The 26,645-nt window shown below is 32.7% G+C and overlaps 1 long non-coding RNA gene and 1 pseudogene across 21 annotated transcripts in view; both read left to right on the top strand.

Moving 5' to 3' along the window:
* Positions 1,599 to 1,700, top strand: RNU6-334P (RNA, U6 small nuclear 334, pseudogene; annotated as a pseudogene).
* The window catches only part of LOC105379109 (uncharacterized), a 144,274-nt gene continuing 125,813 nt past the window's right edge, over positions 8,185 to 26,645 (top strand). For 15 of the 21 annotated variants that reach the window (NR_188311.1, NR_188307.1, NR_188305.1 and 12 more), the window contains exons 1-2: positions 8,185 to 8,375; positions 18,605 to 18,708. This is a non-coding gene — a long non-coding RNA (uncharacterized LOC105379109). The remainder of the gene's footprint in view (positions 8,376 to 18,604; positions 18,709 to 26,645) is intronic. The other 6 variants (NR_188306.1, NR_188304.1, NR_188317.1 and 3 more) reach the window with 2 other exon arrangements.

The raw sequence follows: 26,645 nt of genomic DNA, 5'->3' as shown, positions 1-26,645 counted from the left end.
GGCAGATTCGCATACTGGGTAATTTAATTTGAAAAATACTTAAAAAAACCCCATCTCGTGTAAATATTTATAATACAATAGGATGTAGATGAATTCCATACAAACTCAATCCAGGTAAAAAGAAAATTGTGAGCAAAATAAACTATTTTCAAACAGCAAAGACATACCAAAATAACATGACCTTCCGACTTAACATTTTTTTTGGTGGGAAGACTAGCTTAATATTTCAAAATAAGCAAGGAAATTAATTTATGAAAAAAGAATAAATGAGAACTAGAAAAAAAATTTTTAAATTATGTCAGTAAGGAACTTCTGAACTCTCTCAGAGTTGAGAAATGATTTAGAAATAAATTTCAAAAGTGAAGACAAAACTAAATAGAAAATGAAAATTAATACATATTCTAAATAATATGGTAAAAGAAATAGGCAGTAGAAAATAGAAAAAATGAAATTAAAATCAAGCAAAAATAAAGAAAGACGTAAATGAGGGAGGAATTGAAAGAAAAAAAGATAGGGAAAGTAGTTCTAATACATGTATTAAAAGACAAAATGAAAACAAAAGCGAGAGCTAAGAATAAATATTAAAAACTGCAATTCAATAAATTTTTTTCCGAAATAAGATAAGAATTATGTCTTCCTATTGAAAAGGAATACCATGCCTCTGAAAAACTTTTCCCAGGCATCCAAAGCCAACACATATTATGGTAAAATGATTTGACTTAAGCTTCAAATGATTTCACAAGTGAATTACTTTAAAGAACTTTAAAGATAATCCTAGTACAACTTCAACAATTTTAAAGCATAAATAAAAGGAACAAACTTCAAAAATTCTTGTGATGAGGTGAATGTAACATTGATTATAAAACCTGATAAAAATTGCACAAAAGAGGAAACTGTAAAACAATTTTTCATGTGAATATTAATAAAAAATTTCAATTTGTAAATGTAATATAATTGCAATATAAACACCATTTTTGAGCTAGAAAAGTTTATTGCAAAGCTCATGTGAATGGACAAACAAACAAGAATAGAGTGATTATAAAAATTGTGAAAAGGGTATATGCCAGCCATGTCCTATATGAAATGTATTATGTATCTCTATCATTAAGACAGTAAGATATTATACCATGAATGGGCCAGAATAGCACATCTGGAAATGGACACATTTGCAAATATAAATTTAGTATATCATAAAGGTTGCATCAGAAATCGGTGAATAAATATGTACTTTATAATAAGTGGTATTGGGATAATGGCATAGTTATATGAAGAAAACAGAATTATTTTCTTACTGCATATACAAATATTAGAAGAAACATGTATGGATTCATCTATAAATCTAAAAGTAGGTAAAATAGTCTTACCTGTGACTCACAATATAGAAGCAATAAAAGAGTTAATTTTAGTTAGGTAACTTGTCAAAAATATCTATGACAAATAAATATTATGATCAACAATGACAAATGACAAAATAGTGAAACATATTTGTAACAAAAATGTTTAAAGTCCATCAAGAATCATTAAATAGGATTTTATAATACAGTAATTTTGTAATACAGACAATTTAGATACATCCTAAGGACAAAAAGAAATGCAAGGTGTTGCTTTAGCAGCACATATACAAAAATTAGAATGATACAGAGATTAGCATGATGCCTGACCAATAAGGACATGCAAATTGTGAAATGTTTTATATTTTTCTGTACACTTAAAAATGGTTAAAGTGGTAAATTTTATGTTGTATATATTTTGCCATACTTAAATACATATAAATATGAAAAATTTTTAAAATGGTATGGGAAATAAAAAAGTGTCAGGCAAGGACATCTTCGAATGTTTTCAGTAATCATAATTTCAGTAATAATAATGGTATTGGTTTCACTATAAGTTTATATTGATACTAAAAAAGTAAAATGACAAACTATATCAGTCACAGTAATAACAATGAGAATAAAAACCAGACATGATCATCCATTGATGTGACACAGCTGAAAGCTTACAACTCCTCCTATGAAGTGTTCTTATTAAAAAGTAGGACATAAATTATTAGATTAACACTGTAGTTTTTCACAGGAAATAAAGAGGTCTGCAGACCATCTTAAGTGTCACAAAAGGTTACAATACACAATGAGCAAAATCAATTAGCAAAATCTTAAATATGCCAAATTATATAGAGTCAATGCCATGAGTTTCTTTATTGAATAAATTGTAAAAAAATAAAATAAAACTATACCAATTTACTGCAATGTGTATACTCTCCTGATTCAAACAAACTGACTCTAATTTAAAAATACTGTGAGATATTGGAGGACTTGTGAACACTGCACTTCTTATAACATTAAAGAATCATAGCTATCTACCTTAGGAATAATAAAAATATGGAAATAACTATTTTTAAAGTTTCTTACAGATACATACTGAAGGATCTGTAAATGCAATAATATGTTATCTACATTGGACTAAAGAAATACCTAGGGTTGGGTATGGGATGAAGAGTAGATATAGACTTAGAGCAAAATATATTCACTGTGTTGAAACTGAATATTGGATTCATAAAGATTCATTTTTCTGCCTAGTGTTTCCCAGCTTCCTGTCTGTATCATTATTTAGAACTTTCTTTTGAGATTGGCTGCACTAGGTTAATCTTGGGTAGCCTTATGTGTCCGAGGTCAGCATGTGTATACATATGGGGGCAGGCAGAACTAACTGGTCTGGGTGACCTTGCCTGAGATGGTTCTTTTACATGTGTTTTTTCATTCATACCAATATGTTTCACTTGATAATCTCACGGTTTCCAGAGAGAGTAGAAAAGTCTTGGGTGTCTTGGGTGTCTTGGGTCTAGCTTCTGATCTTACACAACATCAATCCTGCTCGATTTTATAGGACATAGTAAATTATAAGGATGAGCACCAATTCAACAGAAAGGATATACTTTCTTGTTATAGGAAATGAAATGATTTTGAAGTCTACATAGCGAGTGAATAAATATGTCATCAGCCTGTATCCTATCACCTAAACTTCTAACATTTCCTGCCATTTTCTTCATACACTATAATAATATGTATATATTCTTCATATATATAATATATATTTACACACACATACACATACATACACACACAATCAATCTTGACAAGTTATAATTCAAAGGCTATAGAATAAACTCTTAAACTTGGGTTATGTAATAAATTTAGTCAGTGTTGACAACTAACTTGTGTAATTAGTCCAAATTAAGAGCTTTTACTTACAGTTTCTGAGGTATTGCAAAAAGAAAAAGGTATTTTGTACAAAATGCTTTAGATTGTGAATAAATTGTTTTAGCCTAAAAGTAAATTTTAAGAAAAAGTTGTTTTATGAAAGTGAGCCTCAAAAGTATATGGAATAGCATTTATTCTGAGTGAAAAAAAATTATAAAAGTTCCTTTGCCATAAGCAATTTGTGTGACCATGGATATTTCTAAAATATAAAGTTATTTTTTTATTAGATAACATGTAACAGGTAAAATAAAATCACATGCTTATATAGTGCTCACTGTAGGCTAAAAAATATCCTAAGTAATTTACATATGTTATATATTTTAATCCTTATAACACTACTATTGGTAGGTCTAATAACCTCTATTTTACATATAAGAAAATAGTGGCGCAGAGATGTTAATAACTCTTTAAGGTAACATATATTATGAGATAGAGCCAGGATTTGAACTCAGGCAGTCTAGCTCCAGAGTAAAAGCCTGTTTTGGCAGAGACTGAGATGAAGCTTTATTTGGGAATATTGTCCAGGGTACAAAATTGTGCGAGGGTACTGAGTCTAGAATTCTACCAGTATCTCGGTAGGTCACTGGCTTTGATACGATAATAAAATCAGGTATTCCTTCCTTTAGGGGAAGGCATTTTATTCATTGTCCTGTCTCCCAGCTCTCATCAGCCAAGGGTAGCCTGAAGGATGTTAAAATCCTTACATTTCTGGATGGCTCATGAATGTATCTCAGTAGTTTCACTTAGGCATCACAAATATTAGAGGCACTTGAAATGGTCCCTAACAAGACAAGATGAGGTTGCATTTAAGTAAAACTAAAACCTGTGTTCATCTAGTTAACTTTTCTAGACAGTAGGATCTTGAAATGAGGCATAGACAGAAACAAGGTTCTAAATTTCCTTTAAATTTAGAACATAAAAAAGGTGATCTAAAATAATAGCTATGTTGTCAATGTATTTTCATGAGATTAATTTAAAATAAAAGCTATGAGATGTGTTGAATGCATAAATCATATTGATTATTAAATGTAAATAAATACATAGTTATTTTCTCCTAGTCTTTTCTGAATCTCTTATTCAATATGCAAATGACTTGGGACTAAAACTAATCATGAAATATATTACTTTCCTTATGAGAACTATAAATCAAAGAGGGAAGACTGCTCCTTATCAAAAAAAAAAAAAAAGAAAAGAAAGGTGCATGGAGGGAGCATGTACTGCCTTTAGGCTAATTGGTTCAGACTCCAGAAATGTAGTACGCCATACCTTATCTCCAGTTAGAGATAAGAGATATTTTAATATCCAAAGCCTTATCGTATTACCTTCTAAAATGCAAATAGATAAAGGTTATTATTAAATAAAAGAAAATTGACTGCGTCCTCCTCTTCTACATAGAAGGAGGACATTTTGTGAAGAACGTGTAGAGATTAATTAGACATATAAAGGGTTACTCTCTCTTTCAGCATATAGACATACATTATATATAGAAATGTATTCTATCAAAGGAAAGAGGCCAGGTTTTCTGTCCTTCAGAGCGTACTAAGTGTTTGGAGGAACAGATCTGAACAGACCTGAACAATAGCTAAGATAGACAACCTTCTTCAATAACTCAAGCTGCCTCCACAATGGATTCAAAGTGCCTTCAACCTTAGGCACATTAAACATCCCTGGATGCAACAGCCTGTTTTAAAGAAGGCAGAAATTTTTTAATTGTGGTTTGGCTTACCCTCAAGTTAAGTTAGTGAATCTTAGAAGAATGAGAATAAAATATCAGGCTTTCTTTCTAGGTCAAAGTGAAGCTACAGAAAAATAGTAGCTATGATTTAAAAATGCTCTCTTTGTGCTTGGTTGATACTGCCTGGAAAATAATTGCTTGAAGAAGAGGAAAAACATTTAAAAGTTAATCAAACTATTTATGAAAACTCCTTTTGTTTTTAAAAAGGACAAATAACAATATAGGAGAATGGCTTCATTAAATTTATCAATCAACAAGCTAAAAGGCCAGCTGTGGTCCTTGCACTGCATGCCAAAAGGCATTCAAAAGTATCAAATGACATTATGTTTTCAGTATTAGTGTAATCTGAATTTAGTCCTAGCTACATTCATTTGAGATAGTGTTCCCATGTTTCCTTACATACCTTTTTCTTTCTCTCTAATTATCTTTCCAGGTTGTTTTCTTAGAGGGGAATATATTTCTGATGAAAATTAATTTTCAACAATAAAATATTATGTGTGCATTTTTATTTTCAAATTTAACATTAAGAAACTCACTAAAAAAGAAAAAAAGGCTTTAGAAATTTGCTGTGTTTTCCTCAAATTAAGCTTCAGTTAAAACCATCGCTCCATTTGTGAGTATGTTATTAACAATAAATGAAATTGATAGCAATGCCTTGTTCCATCATGAGACTTCTGCTTAGGGTTTGTTAGCTCTTCAATGCATTTGTATTTAGAAACAATTTTTAAATATTGTGCTTCAGATAGCACAAATGTGCTATAAGACTTTAGTAATAAATGGTGAGTTTAAATGTTGAAAACAAAGTGTGTATCTTCTTAGCTGTCATGAAGGAATTATGTGAATATCATAATTACATGATTGCTTATAACACTTTTAAGGAAATCTGAAGATATAATATTTATTTTCCAAACATTTTTGTAGTGAAAATATTTAACACTTTAAAAAGTGGAGAGTAGTATAATGAACCCTTATAAAGCCATCACCCAAGCTCAAAATTAGCCAACTTGTGGTGAATCATTTAAAATCTATACTCCCCCAACTTCTACTACTGTATTATTTTGAAGTAAAATTGATACATATTATATCATTCATAATTATTATAGTCAATAATATAATTTTAAATGTCATCTCTTTCATAGACTTTGAGAATCCCAACAGAATTCATAGAATTTTCTAGGCACTTAAACAATTTAATGAATATAAATATCTGGGATAATTTCTGGTATGATAAAAGATTAAAATATTTTCAAATTGAGCAATGTTATCAATGAGTATCTTTAATACGTTAATAATATATAATTATGTTGTGTGCATAATCAAAACATTATATTTGGTTGACTCACAAATATAAGTTGCTTTGACAAAGAAGAAGAGATATATTACATTTATATTGTAACTTCTGCTCAAGATGTCAGACGAAACCCATATAAGACGTCATTCTTGATTCTCACACACAGAAATGCTGTATTAAATATATTGAACATAGATATTTGGGGATTTAAGCACCTATGTTGGGAGTAATTGGATGTAGTCAGTGCTATCCTTAGTGAAATACTCTAATTTTCTTTTTTTTTGCATAAATCAGAAAGTATGGACAAAAATAATCTACAAAAAGGAGACAAACTAAAGTGAGTTAGCAATCCCAAGTCCAACTGGCAAGAAAATGTTACTTAAAAAAAATGAGAAAACCAAGTATTATACATGAAGATGTACTGGGACCCACATGAACTAATAGGGACAGTAGGCAGAGAAATTCTAGGCAGAAAAGGGCAGGGTGCCCGGTGAGGGCCCCCGCCCTCAAGCCTGGAACTGTAGCCCAAAGTGAAAACTTTACATCCCTCTTTTCCCACTCGAATGTTGCCTTTTCCAAAATTACCTTGGCCCACTCCATCCTCCATCCTGTACCCATAGAAACCCCAGGCTCCACTGGCAGAGAGCAGAGAAGAAGAGAAGAGAAGCAGCAGCTGAACATTGGAGAGAAGAAGCTTGACTTCAGAGAGATAGCTTGATGGTGGGACTTTGGAGAAGAGCCTGGCCAGAGATGGCTGGACTTCAGGGGAAGAACACCTTCCCGCTCCATCCTCTTTCCAGCTCCTCTTCCCACGGAGAGCCACTTCCATCAGCAATAAAATCCCCTGTGTTTACTATCCTTCATTTCGTTTGTGCAACTTGATTTTTCCTGGTTGCTGGACAAGAGCTCGAGATACCGAAGGCTGTCACGCTGACCCTCTGCCCTCACTAAAAGGCCACTGAGCTGTTAAACACTTAAGCTATCTGTGGATGGCAAAGCTAAAACAGCACTGCCTATAATACTCCTTTTGGTGTTTTGAGGAGTCATATGTACTCCCATAGATGCTGCCACGGGGCCTGCATGAAGTTTTGCTCCTGTTGCCACCCAGAATCACTCGCCCCAGCTCCTGCACCCACTCAGCTGTGTTCGCCCTCCTGCGAGGAGTAGAGTGTGGTGGGTCCGAGCTAGTGAAGCCGGCTGAAGCAACCGGCTAGCTCCAGTGCCTGCATTTCAGTTTCTGCCTGCAAAGCAGTCAGGAAAATTGTCCTGCTTCAAAACTAAACGTATGGATATTAAACCCAGGCTGAGGTAACTCCATGTGACTGGCTAAAAAAAACAAAAACAAAAAAAATTTATTTAAAGATAATTGCTTAATCTAGATCACAGGTATATCTGAGATTTTCATGGATGAAAATTCCTACTGATTTGATATCCATAGGCAATTTTTTTTAAACACGTGACACAATTCACCTATGTGTGGTAACATTATGAGAAAACAGCTGAAAATTCAGATTATGAAGACTTTATTCTTAAAACATGTGAAATAAATAAATAAATAAATAAATAATTGGACTACATGAGCTGATACTCATGTAGTTGGTGTTGGAACATCAGTTGTGAAATATCAGTTGTGAACAATAATCTTGTGTAGCGTTTGGGGAAAGCTCCACTGGAAAAATCTCAACACATTTCTTTAGGTTTACAAAGAAAGGCCATGGCATCTACAGAGAATAATTATACGCCATTTGAAAACCAATTCCTGAATTTCTATTAGGCTCTGATAAAGATGGAATTCCTTAGTATTAGACACTAGTTGCCCGTGTATCCAGAACTGCTCATTATGACCTCAGCACTTTCAGAACTTCAAAGACTTAGTGCTCAGGGGATATAAAAATAATGCATTGTATGCCGGAAGGGATAAATCTGGGGCTGAGTACAAGCAAAACAAGACCAAAGGAAGCTACCTGAGCAGGTATTCCAGATACTCATGTCATACACCAAGGTTGTACCAGTGCCCCTTTCTCTGTGACACATCCATCCACTGGAAACTTTCGTACAACTAGCTGAAAGAAGAGAAACATCCTATTTCATGGTATGTGGTTGTAGAGCAGAAGCAACTTAGAAAAACAGTGGAGAGGGAACATTGTCCCAGAGGGCAGAGCTTCTGGCAGTGTACTTGGTTGTTCACTTTGTGTGAAAAGAAATATAGTCCCAAATTAGAATATATATGGACAAATTGACAGAAGCAAATGGCCTGGCCAGTTGTTGAAAGGACTGGAAAAGAAGCATTTGGAAAATCTGGGACAAAGAGGGTTACAGTAGGAGGATGTGCATGGTTATACTTGAGTTGGTATGAAGTGTGAAGATTTTTGTATTACAGGTAAATTTCTACCAAAACATGTCCACTATGGTAGAGTCCCACCCATCACACACACACAGACACACACACACACAGACGCAAACACACACACACAAATAAGTGTACTTAGTTGATGTTAGCCAGACTTTGTCGTTGGCAACCCCAGTGTGGAACAACAGTCACATAAATGAAGGGGCTACAGTAGCAGAGATGGAGGCTATGCATGGGGCACTATAGCATGGACTCCCTTTTAGCAATCCTGACCCAGTTAGTGCCACTTCTCAGTAACAAACTTAGCAGCAACAAAAAGCAAATGACATTAATTTGTTCTGCTCCTCAAGGAGACCAACTGAATACTTCACAAGTTGACTACATTGGACTTCTTTCAGCTGGGAAGGTCTAATGGTTTGTTTCCACAGGAATAGATATATAATTAAGGGGTATGTTTGTATTTTATGCCTGTAAGATCTCAATCAGCACTACTGTCTAAGGGCTCACAAAGTATTACATCTGCCAAAAGGGATATGTTATGACCTTATAACAGACCAGAGGACACATTTTACAGTAAAAGATGTTTGAGAGTTGGTGTGGGGAAAAACCAATGTTCTAATACAGTCCTTATTTATTCAACAAAAACCAAAAGAGCCCATTTGTTGAGTAAATAAGGGTTCTATTAGAGCATTGGAATGGCCAGTTAAATGCAGAACTGAAGCACCAGCTCAGTGGTATTACCTTGCCAGGATTGGGCATCATCAAGACATAGTGTACATATTGAATTAAAAAGTTTCATATAAAATGGTGCCCTCTATCAGAAGATTACATAGGTTCAAGAACCAAAGAGTGGAAGTATGAATATTGCTGCTTACCATCACTTCCAGTGGTCCATTTTGAGAATGAGTACATCCTCTTTCCACAATTCTGGAATCAGCAGGGATAAAAGTTCTGTTTTTTAAAGGGGGCATACTTCCTCTTGGTAATACAGGAAGGGTCATATTGAATCATACGGGGCAATTAACACCTAGACATTTAGCGCTTCTACGTCCACAAACCAATAGGCAAGAACCACAGTCAACATCACGGCAGAGTTATATCCTTTGATACATATAGCATCTATTTTCATTGTGTCTTTAGATGAACAGAAGTGTGTGTGTGTGTGTGTTTGTGTGTGTGTGTGTGTGTGTGTCTTTCCTTATGTGTCAATAATAAAATTGCAAACAACCCAGTTTAAAAAACACAAGCAAACAACCCGAACAACCCAATTAAAAAAAAAAAAAAACTTGAATAGGTACTTTACAAACGAAGATTTGGAAATGGCCAATAAACCCAAAAAACTAGTCAGTATTATTAAATCACAAAATAATGTATATTAAGCCAAACTACATTCTTACCAAAATAGATAAAATTTTAAAAACTGAGAATACAAACTGCTGGATTGAATAAGAAACAACTTGAACTTTCATACATTGCTGGTGTGGCTGTAAAAAGGTACAACTATTTTGGAAATAAGTTTGAATTTTTGTGACAAGTTAAACATATACCTAACCTAGAATCCACAACTCCAATTCTAGGAATTAATCCAAGAGGAAAGAAAATGTACATATGCAAAACTTGAACAATAATATTTGTAACAGCTTTACTCATAATAGTTAGAAACCAACAGCAACCTAAGTGTTCATCTACACCAAATGGGTAAAAATTCAATGAAATAATCCTCAGCAATAAAAAGGAATAAACTACTAATACATGCAAAATGAATGAATCTCAAAAACATAATGCTAATTGGAAGAAGCCAGACAGAAAAGAGGACATATTATATTTTTCATTTAGTATGATGTTCTAAAACAAGGAAGACTATGGATGGTAAATGAAACCAGAGCTGTGATTACCTGGAGATGAGGAGTATGAATTGACTGGGAAGTGACCTAAGGGATCTTGCTGATGAAAATGTTCTATACTTAGACAGATGTTTGGATTATATTAGTGTAGGCAGTTGTGAATACTCATGGAAATTTACTCTTAACATATGTACCTTTCACTTTAGGTAAATCATGCATACATTGTTAAAAAATGTTGTCACTGAGTATTATTTGCTAGACTATGTTAAGTGCAGTAAAACTATAAATTTCTGAAAAGAGAGATAGGAATTGTTTAATAGATTCATCCTCCTCCACAAAGCATATTAGAATATTGACTTTTTAAAGATAAACTCTTAAAAGAATAATAATTCTTTCAAAAATAAACATGGAAGCAACAATTCACTTTAACGAGATTGAAATGTTGTTATTGAGTACAGATAAGTAATCATCTTGCCAAAATGCAAAGTTTCATATTTCTGTTTCAGTGTCCCTGGAGGCCCTCCTCATTTTAAATGTTTAATTGAGGTCATAAGGAAAATAACATCTTTCAATGTAATTTGCAGAGGTGTTCCAATAAAAACCACAAACTCTCTCAACATCAGTAAACTTAAAGGCTAATTTCTGATTTCTCATCAATAGCTTATGTATCAACAATGCTGCCCCCACCACCATTTAAAATAAATTTAGTCTGACAACTGTGAGCATGAGAAAATAGTCATTATGATTTTATTCATCTCTCTATTTTTAACAAAACATTGAGGAACTCCAAAGACCATTTTTATTCCTTTGATATCTATTAGTTCTCTGAAAATCTGTTTCTCCTACCTCCTTTAAGTTGCTATTTTTGACAAATCATTTTTCATTTTCTCCTGTCTTCAGAGATCTGTTCATACTCTTCTGTTTATTTATGGTGCTTGGGAAAATGAGGAAATTGTTGTATTGCAAAAGAAATACTGTCTTGAAATATTTCACTGGAGTGGAAACTGTTAAGATATAGTTTCATCTAGTATATGTTAAAATACAAACAATAAAAAATAGAAGATTTCAAAATAATATCTCCATCACTCTTCTTCCTATCATTTATCCTATCTGTCAGTGCTGACTACTAACAGTGCATCTTGCTAAATGGCATATGATAGACACTTTAGATACATTGAGGGACTGACAAAATATTTAACAAGAATATTTGGCTAAGCCATTATTCTTAGAAAAGTAGGCATGGCATTGTCCATATGAAAGTTTAATGGACTTTAAAATAATCTCATGCTGAAGTAATGAAAAAAGAGCACTGTGTGTACCAAAAGATACAAGTTAAAAATCTGGACAATTTCTTTTAAAAATAGCACAAAGGACACAATTCCATTATTTTATGCTCACTTTGCTTTTTAAATGCAGATGTTACATCAACATGGTGACACAAAGCAAAATGTATAATTTAGTAGCCAGAAAAGATACAAGCTCAACTACAGCATGAAGTAGCCTCTAAAAGTTCACATTAAAATTTTGTAAAGAGTCAAACCTTCATGTCTATGTAATTAAAACAGGATGGTCTACTAATTCAGTCCTTTGCGTTATGCTGCATTTTAAAAAAGGTTATTTGGAATTATTATGACATATATTCAGCAAATAAAAAAATGCTTCTAAAAACGTATTTTAGTAAATACATAGAAAAAGTATATGAATATAATTTGCTATGCAAATAAATCATTGTGTGAAGAACATAGTAAATTTTTAGAACGACCATATTCTATGTGCATCATGATTTCATGAATGTTAGCTTGCCCACTCTAGTGAAACCTCCTTGTAGGAAAGTGTATAAACTCATGAGTTGCACATCATCTACTCAACATTAATTTGATCAAATGACTATAATAGAGAACTAAGAGAAAAAATATAGCACTAATGGTAGCCATAAAAATGACTGGTTTCCAATCCTGTGGAATTTATGGGCATGCTTTCCATGTGATATGAAAGTGAGGGCATGAACCCTAAGAGCATACATAACTAGAATACAGGAGCTCAATCAAATGTACGCAGTCTTTAAGGAAGATGCCTCGTTTGTCCACTCACAAGAAAAGCTTATCTTGAATTAAGCACTTACATTGTGACAGTATTAGGCAATGGAGTTGGCTAAACATTATATTTTAATTTATTTTAGTAAGTAAAAATTTTAAATTCAAGATAAATATAAAATAGGCAAGGTACTTCAGTAATATAAAAGGGAGAGTAATTAAATGAGTCTGAGGGGAATGAGAAAAAAAACTTCATAGAGATGTTAGTGATATCTACCTTACTATATTATTTCTAAGAGAGTATACATAGAATATCATTAAGTCCATCAACTAGTCAAAAACTAAACTTAGCAGTTATTATGCGAATATATACTTGTCCGTCGGAAATGTGCACAACATAACATTATAAAGCAATCTAGTAGTAATCAACAAGCATAGGAAGACAGAACCAAAAAAGGTTTTAAAAATGATTAGTAGTAGTATATAAAAAAATAACTAGAACTGAGGCCTCATACTGCTTCTGCTACTAACCGCATAGCAGAATAACAATGCAGAATACATTATATGGCAAGTGAGTTAAACTTAGCTAAAATCTTACTGCTGTAAGTCCTCACTAAAAATCATTGATAGGTTCTTAGAAACAGCAACTTTAAGCAAAATAAAGTACAGGGAAACCAGTTTCACCACAGGCTAAGTGATATAAACAAGGGTTAAGTTCCTACAGTACAATTCTGGTCACAGAAACATCACTAATGTTCTAAATAAAAATCCAAAACACTTTAATGTAAAACACTGAAGTAAATGTAAACTATACATACGTTTAAGAAAGATTAATAAAAACAAGTAAGATAATTATTTACCCAATATTTTGGGAATCAATGAGAAACTTCACACTTGTTTTAACTGGGACAAGTTAAAACTGTTTTAACTGTGCACAGTTAGACACGTGCACAGCTTATACACAACCTAATGGATGCAGCTTTGGGATGTTTGAGGAAACCAGGGTACCCAGAGTAAACTCATGCAGACATGAGGAAAACATGCAAACTCCATACAGACAGTAGCCTCAGCCAATAATTGACTTTTCTCATCAATGTATAACCAAACGACAATGAAACAAAGTTATTCAAAGACCTGCTGTATCTATACCTATAATGTAAATACACTGAGTCAGATCATCTCTGGATTTTCTTTTTGCTCTAAAAAAACTTGACCTACAAGCAACATATTTAGACACAGAAAGAATGGTCAGTGCTAGAGATATTTGGTTAAGAAAATAACCTTTTAGTGGAATTTTGTGAGAAATTTTGAAGAAAATTGGAAGAAGGACTACATTGTTTACCTTGAAAAGAGCAATGAGAGCCATACTTATTACAGAGAAAATTCTAAATTGGTTGATTTGGATGGAACATCCAGAAAGTGGATGAAGCAAATGCTATTATTGTTGCGAATTATAGAATATAAAGCATAAAAAGATGAAAATAAGAGTAATTAGAGGTGAAAAACATAGAAATAAGAGCTCTAATTGAGATAAAATTAAAACATCACAAGCTTCTGTGAAGTTATCTCCCAAAATGTTGTAGCCTAACATTTGGAACATTATTCACTACAACTAACATCTTAGAAAATATATCTAGCCTCTTGATGTTTACACCAAATTAGTAGAAAAGAAGCCAACTTTAGTTTTAATATGTTTAGGTTTTGAATATTTTTCTCTTCCAAGCAATAAAACAATCACTAGAGAGGGTGTAGCAATTTTAAAGATTCTCAGCAAAGGTCATGTCATTTTTAATTTATTATATCGTCATCACAAACCTGTTATGCATTTAACTACCTTACATTAAAGATGACATTTACACATTGCAGTCTTACAGTATATTGCCTCTACCTTCATCCCCCAAAATGGTAAGTCTATGAGTCAATAAAATGGTTTCTTTCAAGGAAGAACATCCTTCTTTGGAGATTAAGAGATATACACATATTTGATTATGAAAAGGAGGCCTCTGGGAGAAAACTTGAAAAAACTGAGACTAGATGAAGTGTTCTTCATCAGGAATTTGAAAATAAGGGGCAAATTGACAAGGGAGGCAGTCTAGAAACATGGGAGAACAGGAATCCAAATAAAAAACAAATCAAATTCCCTCAGGATCACAGGGTCAAAGGATACTTTTTAGAGAGATATCTAGTCCTCTTTTCATGTTGCCTGCTTTTTTGTGCTACCCTAATTACTGCAAATAATTCCAAAAAAACAAAGGTGCCATAAATGTAGTATCTAAGAGTAAAAAAGGGACTTCAAAGGTAGGAGACAATAAACATACAAGGAAATTGACATTCGGTTGAAAAATGACAACAGAACTAGAGATGATTAAGCACAAGTTCCCCAAGCTTCTCTATAAAGAAGAGCAAGGTTTCTGTTTGCCTTTGGAAACGAATTGGGTGTGTGTCAGTTGTCCATTGCTGCGTTGCAACTCACTACAAATTTAGAAGCTTAAAACAACACAAATGTGTTAATATTTCACAATTTCTGTGTCAGTAATCTGGCATAGCATGGTTGCTCTGATTATGGTTTCACAAGTTTGAAATCAAGGTGTCAGCCAGAGCTGATATCTCATCTGAGACTTCATTGTCTTAAAGCTCATTCAGGTCATGGCAGAATTCAGTTCCTTGAGGTTATAGAACTAATGTCACTATTTTCTTGTATATTGACTCCAGGCGGTTCTGAACTCCTAAAGCCTTCCTCTTGTTGCTTTGAATCACTGATTTTCTCTCTGATGTGTAGACCCAGATTTAAAAGGCTCATGTGATTAAGTCAGCTCACCCAGATAATCTTCTTTTCTTAAAACCGACTGTGCCATATAACATAATCTAATCATCAGAGTGAAATCTCATTATATTCACTGGTCTTGTCCAGTTTAAAAGAAAAGGGATTATACAGGGCATGAACACCAGGGGTGGGAAATTTTTAGTACATCTTCAAATTTTCTTACCATAGGTGTTCAATCCAATTTTTACTTTAGTTTTATATGTCTGGACAACTCCCAGGAAATTGCAACACTTGGGATTACCCAGGGATTAAGACCTCTATTATATATAAGTAAAGAAATTTATTCAATTTTTCTAACACAATCTTTCCATATTTTGGCTTCTGTTTCTCATTATATTAATAGATACCTCAAACTTGAAATTTATTTTAAAGAAAAATGTTCAATATGTATTATGATTTTCCAATCACAGAATTTTGAAAAACAAGTTTGTCTGTGACTTTTAACATAATTTTAAGTTTCCCCAGAAAAGATAGATATGAAAGAATAAATACCCTCAATTTTCTAAGAAGCAAGAGAGTGACACAAACTTACGGTAAAGAACTGGAGTTGTGGAAACACCTTGATCTTAGAAGATATGCTTTAGTGGGAATCGGAAAACTTTTTTTTTTCATAAAGGGCAGATAGTAAATATTTCAGGAAAGCCAAGAGGTAAAATCAAGGGTATAAGTAGATGCTTAAATGAAAAAAAAGAAGTTTCCATACAATTTTTAATTGATGAAATTCAAATTTCATTTCTGAACACTAAAATTTAAATTTTACATAATCGTCATATGCCACAAAATATATTTTTGCCTCTTTTAAAACAATTTAAATAGGTAAAAAAAAAAATTGTAGTACATTAGCTATATAAAAACAGACAGTAGCCCAAACTTAGTTTGTGGGCCATTATATATATAATATATATATTATGTATATATATACTCCTTATTTCTGTAGTTTTACTGAATGCTGCTCTAGAGTTCTTTTACAGAGGTCACTTTTGGCCCCATTAATAGCTAAATCCTTATTTTTTTTACTCTTAAGGACTCTCTCTTTCTCTGTATATACATATACATGTATGTGTACATACATATATACATACATACATACATATATATACACAATTATAGCCAGATTTTTCTTGTTTCTGTTAACTACCATTTGAACTTTTAAATTCTCCCACTTATTTCCACAGTCATTACCTCATTTAATTTCATGTAACTAGATTTAGACAAAAGAAATCATTATAATGTAGATAGATTACATCCCCAATGATTTTTTTTTTGGTTCCAAAGGGACTTGGTTCTATTATCTCTTACAATTAAATGTATTATACTATGTATCAGTAATAATAGTCTCTAAAATTTATGATGTTCTTACTTTGTATGTTTTCTGTAACTAACACATTAAGATTTGTAATGAGAAAAATGGTATTTTGTTGATGTAATGTTTGAATACCAGTTCTTGGAATTTTAACAGTAGTATTCTGTGTTCTGCAAAGCCAGAAGTTAGATGACTGGAATTTACACATTGTGCATTTTGGACTGTTAGAGAGAATATGTGCTAAAAGAGTCCTTGATAGTCTAGCTAGCCCATAATCTAAAATCATTTTTTTGCTCTAAAATATTTTTACAAAATGATTTATTCAAAAATTGATAGCTATTGTACCAAAAGGGTATTTTTGAGTTCATATGCAATAATGTTTCAAAAGATTAAATTATGTTCTGTACACCTTGAACCCATGTGTGTTGTTAAATACCTTTCTTGGAAAGTAAACATCAATGTTTGATGGAAGCTTGTAACATTAAAACCAGATGAAAAACAGGTTTTTATTCTATACTTTTTCTAAAGCAGTATTTATGATTACTTTTTTGACAAACTAGCATTTCATAAATACTTCAAAATAGCATTTTTAGGTTTCCAGCAAGCTTCTTGGGAAAAGGTTTTAAACTTTTGACCCAACAAAGATTTCTAGACTGAAAACACCTTACCATCTTTTCTCACTTACCGTTGAGGTAGTGATGGGCAAGGTGGCTACCGGGGAGAACTCAGCTTTTTTTGAATTAAACTAAAGAGATTCCTGATAGATAAGGAACTACATAATCAAAGCAAAAGACAGCTGTTATCTCCTCAGCCCTGGGGAAGAACTAAAGGACTTCTAAGAAATTGAATCCCAAAAATGAGACAGTTCACGAACATCTTTGAACTTGACAAAAGAAAGGAGCGCTTCTCTTAATTTAGGTATTGAAAGGGGAAGTGTGAAGGTGGTAAGTCAATGTCTAGGAAATAATAGAATGAACAATTCTGACTCTGAGAGTAATCTTTTCAGAGTATGACACACAGAATCTCTTCAAGCTAAAAAACAAACAAACCAAAAAAAACTATACTTATTAAAACTCCATTTAATATAACAGTGTTTTTTTTTCTCATGGCTGAAAAATACAGGTTGTCATTAAGCTGTGGTTCTTTTAAAACAGTATTCCGTATTTATTTAAATGCTATAAATGCTCATATCCCTATTTCTAGTAGAAGACTAAAATATTTAGCTTTAGCATTTTATTTATTTCAGTGTAGAAAGCTTTTAAGATTTCTAATTGTTGTTATTCACAACATCATTTGGTATGCTGAATAGATTTTTTAGATTACAGATTCACAAATTACAGTATGAAGGCCAAATCCAGTTGTACGTTGTTTTTGTAAAGTTTTATTGAAACACAGTCATACCCATTCCTTTATCATTGCCTGCATATGCTTTCCCGCTACAACTACAGAGTTGAGCAGTTGTTTCAGAGACTATATTGCCCACAAAGGTCTAAAATAAGTATTATCTGGACATTTCCAGGAAAAGATTGCTGACCCTTGAATCTTTTAGATGATCAAAGCTGTTTCCAAACAAATATGTCTACTACTTCAAGTGTTGATAATTCGAAAAACATATAGCAAATAAAAAATTAAATAAAACTTTTAAGTTTATCATGTGACGCTCAAAGATTGCCTAACCAAAGAGAACATTTTGTAGTGCCTCATAATATTAACAAACTGCTGTCTTAGGTACCATAAGCAGCTGATTTATTAAAAGTGACTTGTGCAGTCAATATCTGGAATGAAACAGCCAGTTTCATCTTGTCCAATTTTTACATTACTCTTCATTTTCCCTGAGAACTACATAGCTGAAACACTTTTAGTAAAGCACTTCCTTGTAAAATGATCAGTTGTATCTGTCACCAGGAAGAAATGCATTTTCCTGCTTTATTACAGCCATCTGCATCTTTCATTTTCTTTTAATTCAGTCACTGGAGCCCTAATGATCGCAGCCATTTCAGGAAATGCCATCAATTACAGTGAGGAGCTCATTCAGAAGTGAAAGATGAGTTCCATTCTCTGTTACTTAGAGGTCAGTGATCATTCCCCAACCTCTTCATAGTGAACAAATAGTACAGTAACTTTCACAGGCTCCCTTCATTTTTCTCAAGTCTGCTTCTTTATGACTTTTTGTAGACCTTGGTTATAATAACTTCATATGTTTGATGCTGGCAACCCTAAGACAAGCCTGACCCAATCATTTTCCTTGCATCCACCATGATAAATTCAATAATATATAAGTCTGGCTTTCAGAAAGAATATTTTGAAGAACAGGTATTGTTAAGGTGGCATGTAAAAAATTCCAAAGCAGACATAGTTTGTAAAATTTATATTCAAAAGTTTCCAAAGTAGTAATTGTTTTTCATCAATTAACTTTATATTGCTTTCTATAAAATAATCATCTTGAAGGATTTACTATAATTATGCAATATTCAGATACTAATTTTACATACCCTAACTAAAACACTTTTAATAATTAGGAATACAAATCAATTGTCAATATTCTGTTTGGTGGCAAAAGGATTTATATGACTTATACAAAACCAAAAACAGATATTTGTAGCTGTTTTACATAGTCACTTAAAGCTAGAAACAACCAAGATGCCTTTCAATGGGTAAATGGATAAACAAACTGTGATATATTCATATAGCAGAATATTATTCAACAATATTTGAAGAGAATGAGCTAGTAAGCCATAAAAAGACATGAAGGAATCTTAAAGGCATATTACTAAGTGAAAGAGCCATTTAAAAGGCTACATATTGTATCATACCAATTACATGATATTCTGAAAAATAAAAAACTAAAGAGATGGTTAGATGATCACTAGTTGCCGAGGAATTGAGGGAGGGAAAGATTGTTAAGTAAATGAAGCAAGGATATTTTAAGGTGGTGAAATTATTCTGTGTGATATTGTATTAGGGAGTATATGACACTATTCTTATTGTCAAAACCCATAGAACTATATAGTATATAGAGTTAATCTTAATGCACCCAAATTAGGAAAATATAACCACTTAGTAAGTCAGAGGATCCCAGATTGAAATGCAAAACTTGACAAAATATAAATATACGATAAATGCATAAAATTACCTTACTGAAGAGAGTTGGGGAAATGGTGCTTACCTATATAACTTTGGAAATTGAGTCTGTAAAAATAAAGATAAAAGAAATTGTACTTAAGAACTATACTTCAGTTGATAAAATTGTTTCCCTTAGGGGAGGACGATAATAATTCTTGTACTTCTATATTGGTATATAGATGAGAACAATTAAGTAAATGGATGGTGGATAGTGGGGCCAGGTTTCACACTTTATATATATATATCTATATATGTAGTATGTGTGTGTGAGTATGCATATGTGTGTGTGCATATATATATATATAGTGTGTGTGTGTTTGTGTATACACACACAGAGTATATATACACGTATGTATATATATATCTTTTTTTTTTCTTTCTCTGTCAGCTGAAAGGGCCTTGAAGCAATAATAGCTAAGAAAATTAAGATGATTCACAAGAGAATGACAAAAAGCAAAAACTAAGGGAGAGTCAAGCAACTCATCCTAGATAGAAATCTTTGAACAGCTATTTAAAAATGGGATAAATGGGCCAGGCACGAAGGGTGACACCTGTAATCCTGGCACTTTGAGAAGCCTAAGTGTGTGGATCGCTTGAGGCCAGGATTTCGAGACCAGCCTGGCCAAAATGATGAAACCCCATCTCTACTAAAAATACAAAAATTAGCCAGGCGTGGTGGTACATGCCTGTAATCCCTGCTACTCAGGGGGTTGAGACAAAAGAATCTCTTAAACCCGGGAGGCAGAGGTTGAATTGAACAGAGTTTGCACCACAGCACTCCAGCCTGGATGACAGAGTGAGACTCCGTCTGAGAAAAAAAAAAAAAAAAAGGGATACATGAAGTGAAAACTGAGACATCGATAGGGTACACACTCTTTTTGTTTTGGATTCTAATGAGAAATTCACTGTAATTCTTATCCTTCATCCTATATAGATATGGTGTTTTTTCATCCTGTATAGATAAGGTGTTTTTATCTCTGATTTCCTTCAAGACTTTCCTTTTGTCTTTGATTTTCTGCATTATAGATATTTTGATATTTGTCCTGTTTCTCTGGACCTCCTGGATCTGTGGTTTGATGTCATTAATTTTAATAAAAATCCTATGTCATTATTACTTCAAATATTTATTTTGTCTCTCTTTTCCTAATATTCCTACATGCATATGTTACTCTTTTTGTAATTGTTCCCACAGTCTTTGAATATTTTGTTTCATCTTTCTAAATGTTTTCTATTTGCATTTCAGTTTTGAAAGTATCTGTTGACATGTCTTCAAGCTAATTGATATTTCCTTGGCCATGTCCAATCTACAGATGAGCTCATTAAATGCATTGTTAATTTCTCCTACAGTATTTTTTATTTCTAGCATTTCCTTTTGTCTCTTAGGGTTTCCATTTCTTTGCTTACATTACCCATCTGCTCTGGCATGTGGTTCTTTTTTTTTTCATTAGAGCCCTTAGGATATTAATCATAATTATTTTAAATAGCTAGGCTAACTACTCTAAAATCTCTGCCATTTTTGAATCTGGCTCTGACGTTTGTCCTTTCTCTTAAAACTGTGTTTTTTGTGTCTTAGTATGCTTTTTGATTTTTTTGTTGTTTTTACTGAAAGCAGGATATGATGTACTAGGTAAAAGGAACTGAGGTATAAAGGTCTTTAGTGTGAGGTTTTATGTTTTGCTGGCTAGGTGTTAGTCTGTGTTTACCATTCGCTATACCTACAGGTATCAGAGGCTAAAATTTCCTCTGATGTCCTTGTTTTTGTTTCCCTTTTTTTCTTTGAGTTTCCAAAGAAATTTCTTAAGTAGCCTGATACTTGCAATTTTTTTAGTTGTAATCTTCTATTATTATATAGAAGCCTATTGATATAGTTGTAAGGTGTGAGGTGAGGGAAAGTATACTACAGTTCTGCAATTAGATCTCAGTCTTTCGGTAAGACTGTTTATTCATTAGTGCCCAGCTATTTGGTTGTATTTTGTTTTGTCTTCTCCGTAAGTGGGACAGGAAGACTAGAGAGGGATGGAGATGGGTATCTTCCTTCACATGGATGCCTAGAGTGGACTGGGGTTGAGTATTTTCCTTTCCCCACGTTGCTTAGGCCTTGGGAAAACCCCACTCAATTTGTGTTTAGTAAAATCCTTTCCCTTGATTGCAGGCTTTGTTAAGGAAAAGAGAAGCTCTTAGTTTATTTCAAAATGGCTGCTTTTTCCCTCCCAGTGCCAGAGACATGGTATTGGGGCTTTTTATCTGCTCTTCACTGAGTCAACCTGGTAGAGCTCTTGGAGGCAAAACAGACACAAATGTGGTGACCTTCTTAAGATGGGGCCCCACCAAAATTTTAAGACTCATTTTATATTGTAAACCAAAAGTATCTGAGACAGGTCTCAATCAATTTAGAGAGTTCATTTTGCCAAGTGACACAGTCTCAGGATGTCCTAACAACATGTGCCCAAGGTGGTTGGGGTACAGCTTGGTTTTATACATTTTAGGGAGATATGCAACATCAATCAATACATGTAAGATGTACCTTGCATGTATGGTACATATTTCTGGTTTGGTCCAGAAAGGCAGGCTGACTGGAAGCAGGGGCTTTCATGTCACAGGTAGATTTAAATATTTTATGATTAGCAATTGCTTGGAAGAGTTATTACCAATAGAAAGAAATGTCTGGATTACAATAAGGGATTGTAGAGACCAAGCAAGGTTTTATCATGCAGATGAAGCCTCCACTTAGCAGGCTTCACAGAGAATAGACTGTAAATGTTTCTTATCAGACTTAAAGAGCCTGTTCTATCAGTAATTCCAAAAGGGAGGAGAGTATAATGAGGCATGTCCAGCTATCCCTTCCCATCATGGCCTGAACTAGTTTTTCAGGTTAACTTTGGAATGCCTTGGCTGAGAGGAGCACTTGAAAATTTATTTTTGGTTTACAGCATATACGGAACTTCCAGCAATTCATTAATTACAGTTCTTTTCTTTTTCTTTTTTCTTTCTTTTTCTCCTATCCTGGTCTGGCTCTGACTGTGGTTTCTCTTTCTGGACTTTTGCTCTAATAAAATGTGATTCTCTATATCTACCTTTCTGTCCCCCCAGTTTTGGTGGGGATGGACAACAGTTTGCTCTGTGACCTCAATTCTCTGATGAATCGAAGTAGAGTTGCTTATTTTCAGTTTGCTCTCCTTTTTTTTTTGCATCTAGGACATGTTTGATGACTTCCAAGTTTCTTACATGTTGGACCCTAAATTCACTTTAGTGAATTCATCATGAGGAAATAATTAAGTATAGTCCTATATAAGCAAAATATTATTAATCACAGTATTAAAAATGATAAAATGTAGATTAAACACACTGTAGAATTTAAAGTGATAATGCATGTTTATATTTTGAAATGAGAAGTGAGAAACTGCAGATACAAACAAGTGAGAAATGGCAATTACAAAAGTGTACAGTCCCATTTTTCTAAATGTTATGGAAAAATGTGCATATATTAATACAAAAACTTTAGCAGAAGTCATCATTTGTTAGGACAATAATAAGTTACATTTTTATCTTAATTTCCTTATATCTGTAGCAAACATAGAGTAAAAATAAATAAAATAGTTAAGTTTATCTTAATAACAGATTTGTTTACAAAGAAAGCTATTTATTTAAACTTAATTACTGAGTGCTTTGCATATATGACAACTTGAGCTAGGCGATACTAAAAGGAAACAAATAAGAGTACACATGTCCTCATGGATCCCCCTATCTTCTGAAAAATGGAGATACACTGAATATTAATGAACTAATGAGCAAAAGAGAAAAATTCTATCTCTTTTATGCATATTTGAGAGGCATCTATCATACTAAGACATTTTTTATCTGCTTTAGAAAGTTACCTCTCAGAAGTGATGTCATCTATGAGTTTTGAGCAGATTTTTGTCAGATTTTTGTGTGTAGAGAGAAAAAAATGCATGTGAGTATATGCGTATGGTTGTCTTCTTTGTTATTATGCTGTTACTTGTTTGCTGTCATTTTCCTAAAATATTGATGAAAAAATTAAGGTAAGTCATTGTATTATCAATCATAGAAGGCTGACTACATCCTCTTGTGTGATTAAATCTGTTAAATTGCTGATTCAGTAATAGTTAAAGACTTTAACATACTTATGGAGAAAAATAATCCATAGGTTAATGGAGGAATATTTTCATTTTGATATTGTAAAATTTATAAATAATACAATTATTTTTATTACTTTATTTGTTTTGTTTTGTTTTTAACTCATTTTCTTCATATTCTTCTGCCCTCTCCAACAATTTTAAACTTTATAAGAGCCCTAAATAAATAAATCACAACCTATCTCTAAACTACAATACAGTTTACATAAATTTACATAAATTCTTACTGATAAATTGAGGAAATAGCTCTAGAATAGCTAATATCATACCCTAGCAGTAGAACAGCTGATCTTTATTTAGATTAAATTTTCTCAAATTACAGGAAGGATTATCATACTTTTAACACAATTAAGTTGAAATTTTTTTTATGTTTAGCTACAGATATATAAAAATGGTATCGATTTTAGAAGAGGAAAAAAATAATTCTGGCTATATCAATTTGTCCTCCATGGATTTTCCTCTTTTCACCATTAGTAGTAATTTTTCACAATCTTTAAAATTAATAATTTATTTCATATTATTAGTTAATAATTTAATGTAAAATTTTATATGAGCTATATAAATATGTAGGAATAATAAGAACTATAAAAAATAGTGACTGTATTTTAGCATTGGGTTTTTAAAAAAAGCAACAAATTTTATTTTTGGTTCAGACAATGAGTCCCCAGATATTCTGCTACTTCCAGACTGACTGCTAGTAAAGAAATAAATTGGGTTAGAACTCCAGCTGACTAAGTACTATATTCAGCACTTCAGAGTACAGACTACATCCATAATAAATGACTTTAATTTAAATGTGATTTCTAACAAAAATCATTTTACCATTCTGACCGTATATATAGTAGTTCCTTAGGATAACAATTGTTTCTAATAATTTAAAACTTTGAACCTGCTGGCATGAACTTTATTTCCAGCACAGTACAATATGAAACATTTAAATTGGGCAAAGTCAGAGGTATATTATAAGATTCTCTGTGTCTCTGTGTCTCTTTCTCCCCCCCCCCCCCCCTCCATTCTCTTCCTCTCTCTTTTTTCTTCTGTCTCTCCATTTCACAAGTTTTGAATGATAAGTGTGAATGTTGGGAAACCAAGATAGATATTTTGGGATGTAAATGTAAATTCTCATTAACTCTTTCAAAAATACTTGTCAACTAGAGGCTCCAAAATATAAAGGGGATTAACTGATGTATCTTGCCCTCTGGGAGAACATGGTTCAAAAGGGAACATAATGATGCCTATAATAGTTTTACATGTGGTAGACAATTATTTCAGTTCCAAGGAGAGTATACACATTTTAAAAGGGGGGATTCGGAGGAGTAAGAAAATTTGTTTAGCTGATGAGATTAGAGAAAAATACATTGAGCATATAATGGTTAAATTAGATTTCTAAGGTTACTGAAGAAAGAATTTCTTTAGAGTGATTGTAGCCTGAACATGGAAACATGACTGGGACCTTTAGGCACATATAGGAAATATAATTCAATTTGTGTGTGAATGTTTACACAAAATAATGGGTCAATAAAATAAGAAAATAGCTCATACTCTAATTAAATACATTGGCTATATCACCATTAAAAAGTATGTTTCAACAAAAAAATCCAAATAAATCTTCCTACTTTCTTGTTGTTTTTGATGTTACTGCTTTCTTGCCACCTTGAATAATTCTATAAATACTATCATCCCAAATTCTTGCAAACACAAGATTATTACAGAAACTAAATAGTGTACCATTTCTGTATGAAAACAAAAACATAAAAAAATTTTGATAACTAAAATGGATTTATATCATTTCTATCTAATTATTTACATTTTTAAATAACTATAGATGCACAGGAAATATAGCATATAATTATTTAATATTTAAAGTTAAAATAATTCCAATAAATAACTATTTGAGGACTGGGTCCTCAACCTACACATTTCCAAATAAGAGATCTATGAATTCCAAATCCTAATCATCTTAAAAGTGGCTCTAGAGAGCACTATACCATTTTATGACATCATTGGAATCCTCTTTAATTTGTCTGCTGGCTATACAGTTTTCACGTATTTATTTATTTATTTATTTATTTATTTATTTATTTATTTATTTGTTGCTACATAGCAGAAGTCTACGAGTAGCAATCTGGATGGAAAAATAGGCTATAGAAATTTCCCTGAGTTTGCATATCCAAACCAATTTTGAATTTTTTATGTATAATATGTTTATTTGGAGTAGCCTAGGGAATTGATGGAGTTTAATAGGGAATGAAAACCTATTCAGGTTAGTACTTGGAAATACCATTGTCCATTCACTCAACTCATATGTAGTGAATGCTAACTGTGATCCAGGCACTATGATAGTACACTATCATATGAAGATATAGTAACATAAAAAAAAATAAAGTCTACTATGTCCCAAGGAGACATTGAATATTTGAGGAAGAGAGAACATTCAACAAGAATAAATAGCACTTTTAAATGAAAATAATATGATGGAACAAAAAATACAATATTGGAACACAGATATAAAAATATTTTATGAACCCCAGACCCTACAGAATTGGATATGCCGGCCTAACACTATCATTCCCTTTTCAACTGCATCAAAATTATGTATTCCTAGAGTTGGAAAGTTACTTGAGGATCAAAAGAATTACTAGTTGAAAGGAGAGAATTTTATATCATCTGAACATTAAATAATACTCTCCGAGCTCTCAGCTGGAAATTGCTTACAGTTCCAGAGTACATA

This window comes from Homo sapiens, chromosome 5 (assembly GCF_000001405.40).
Source record: "Homo sapiens chromosome 5, GRCh38.p14 Primary Assembly".
Classification (NCBI taxonomy): Eukaryota; Metazoa; Chordata; class Mammalia; order Primates; family Hominidae; genus Homo; species Homo sapiens.
The sequence above is the reverse complement of the archived record's forward strand: the minus strand, read 5'-3'. Positions and strand labels throughout refer to the sequence as shown.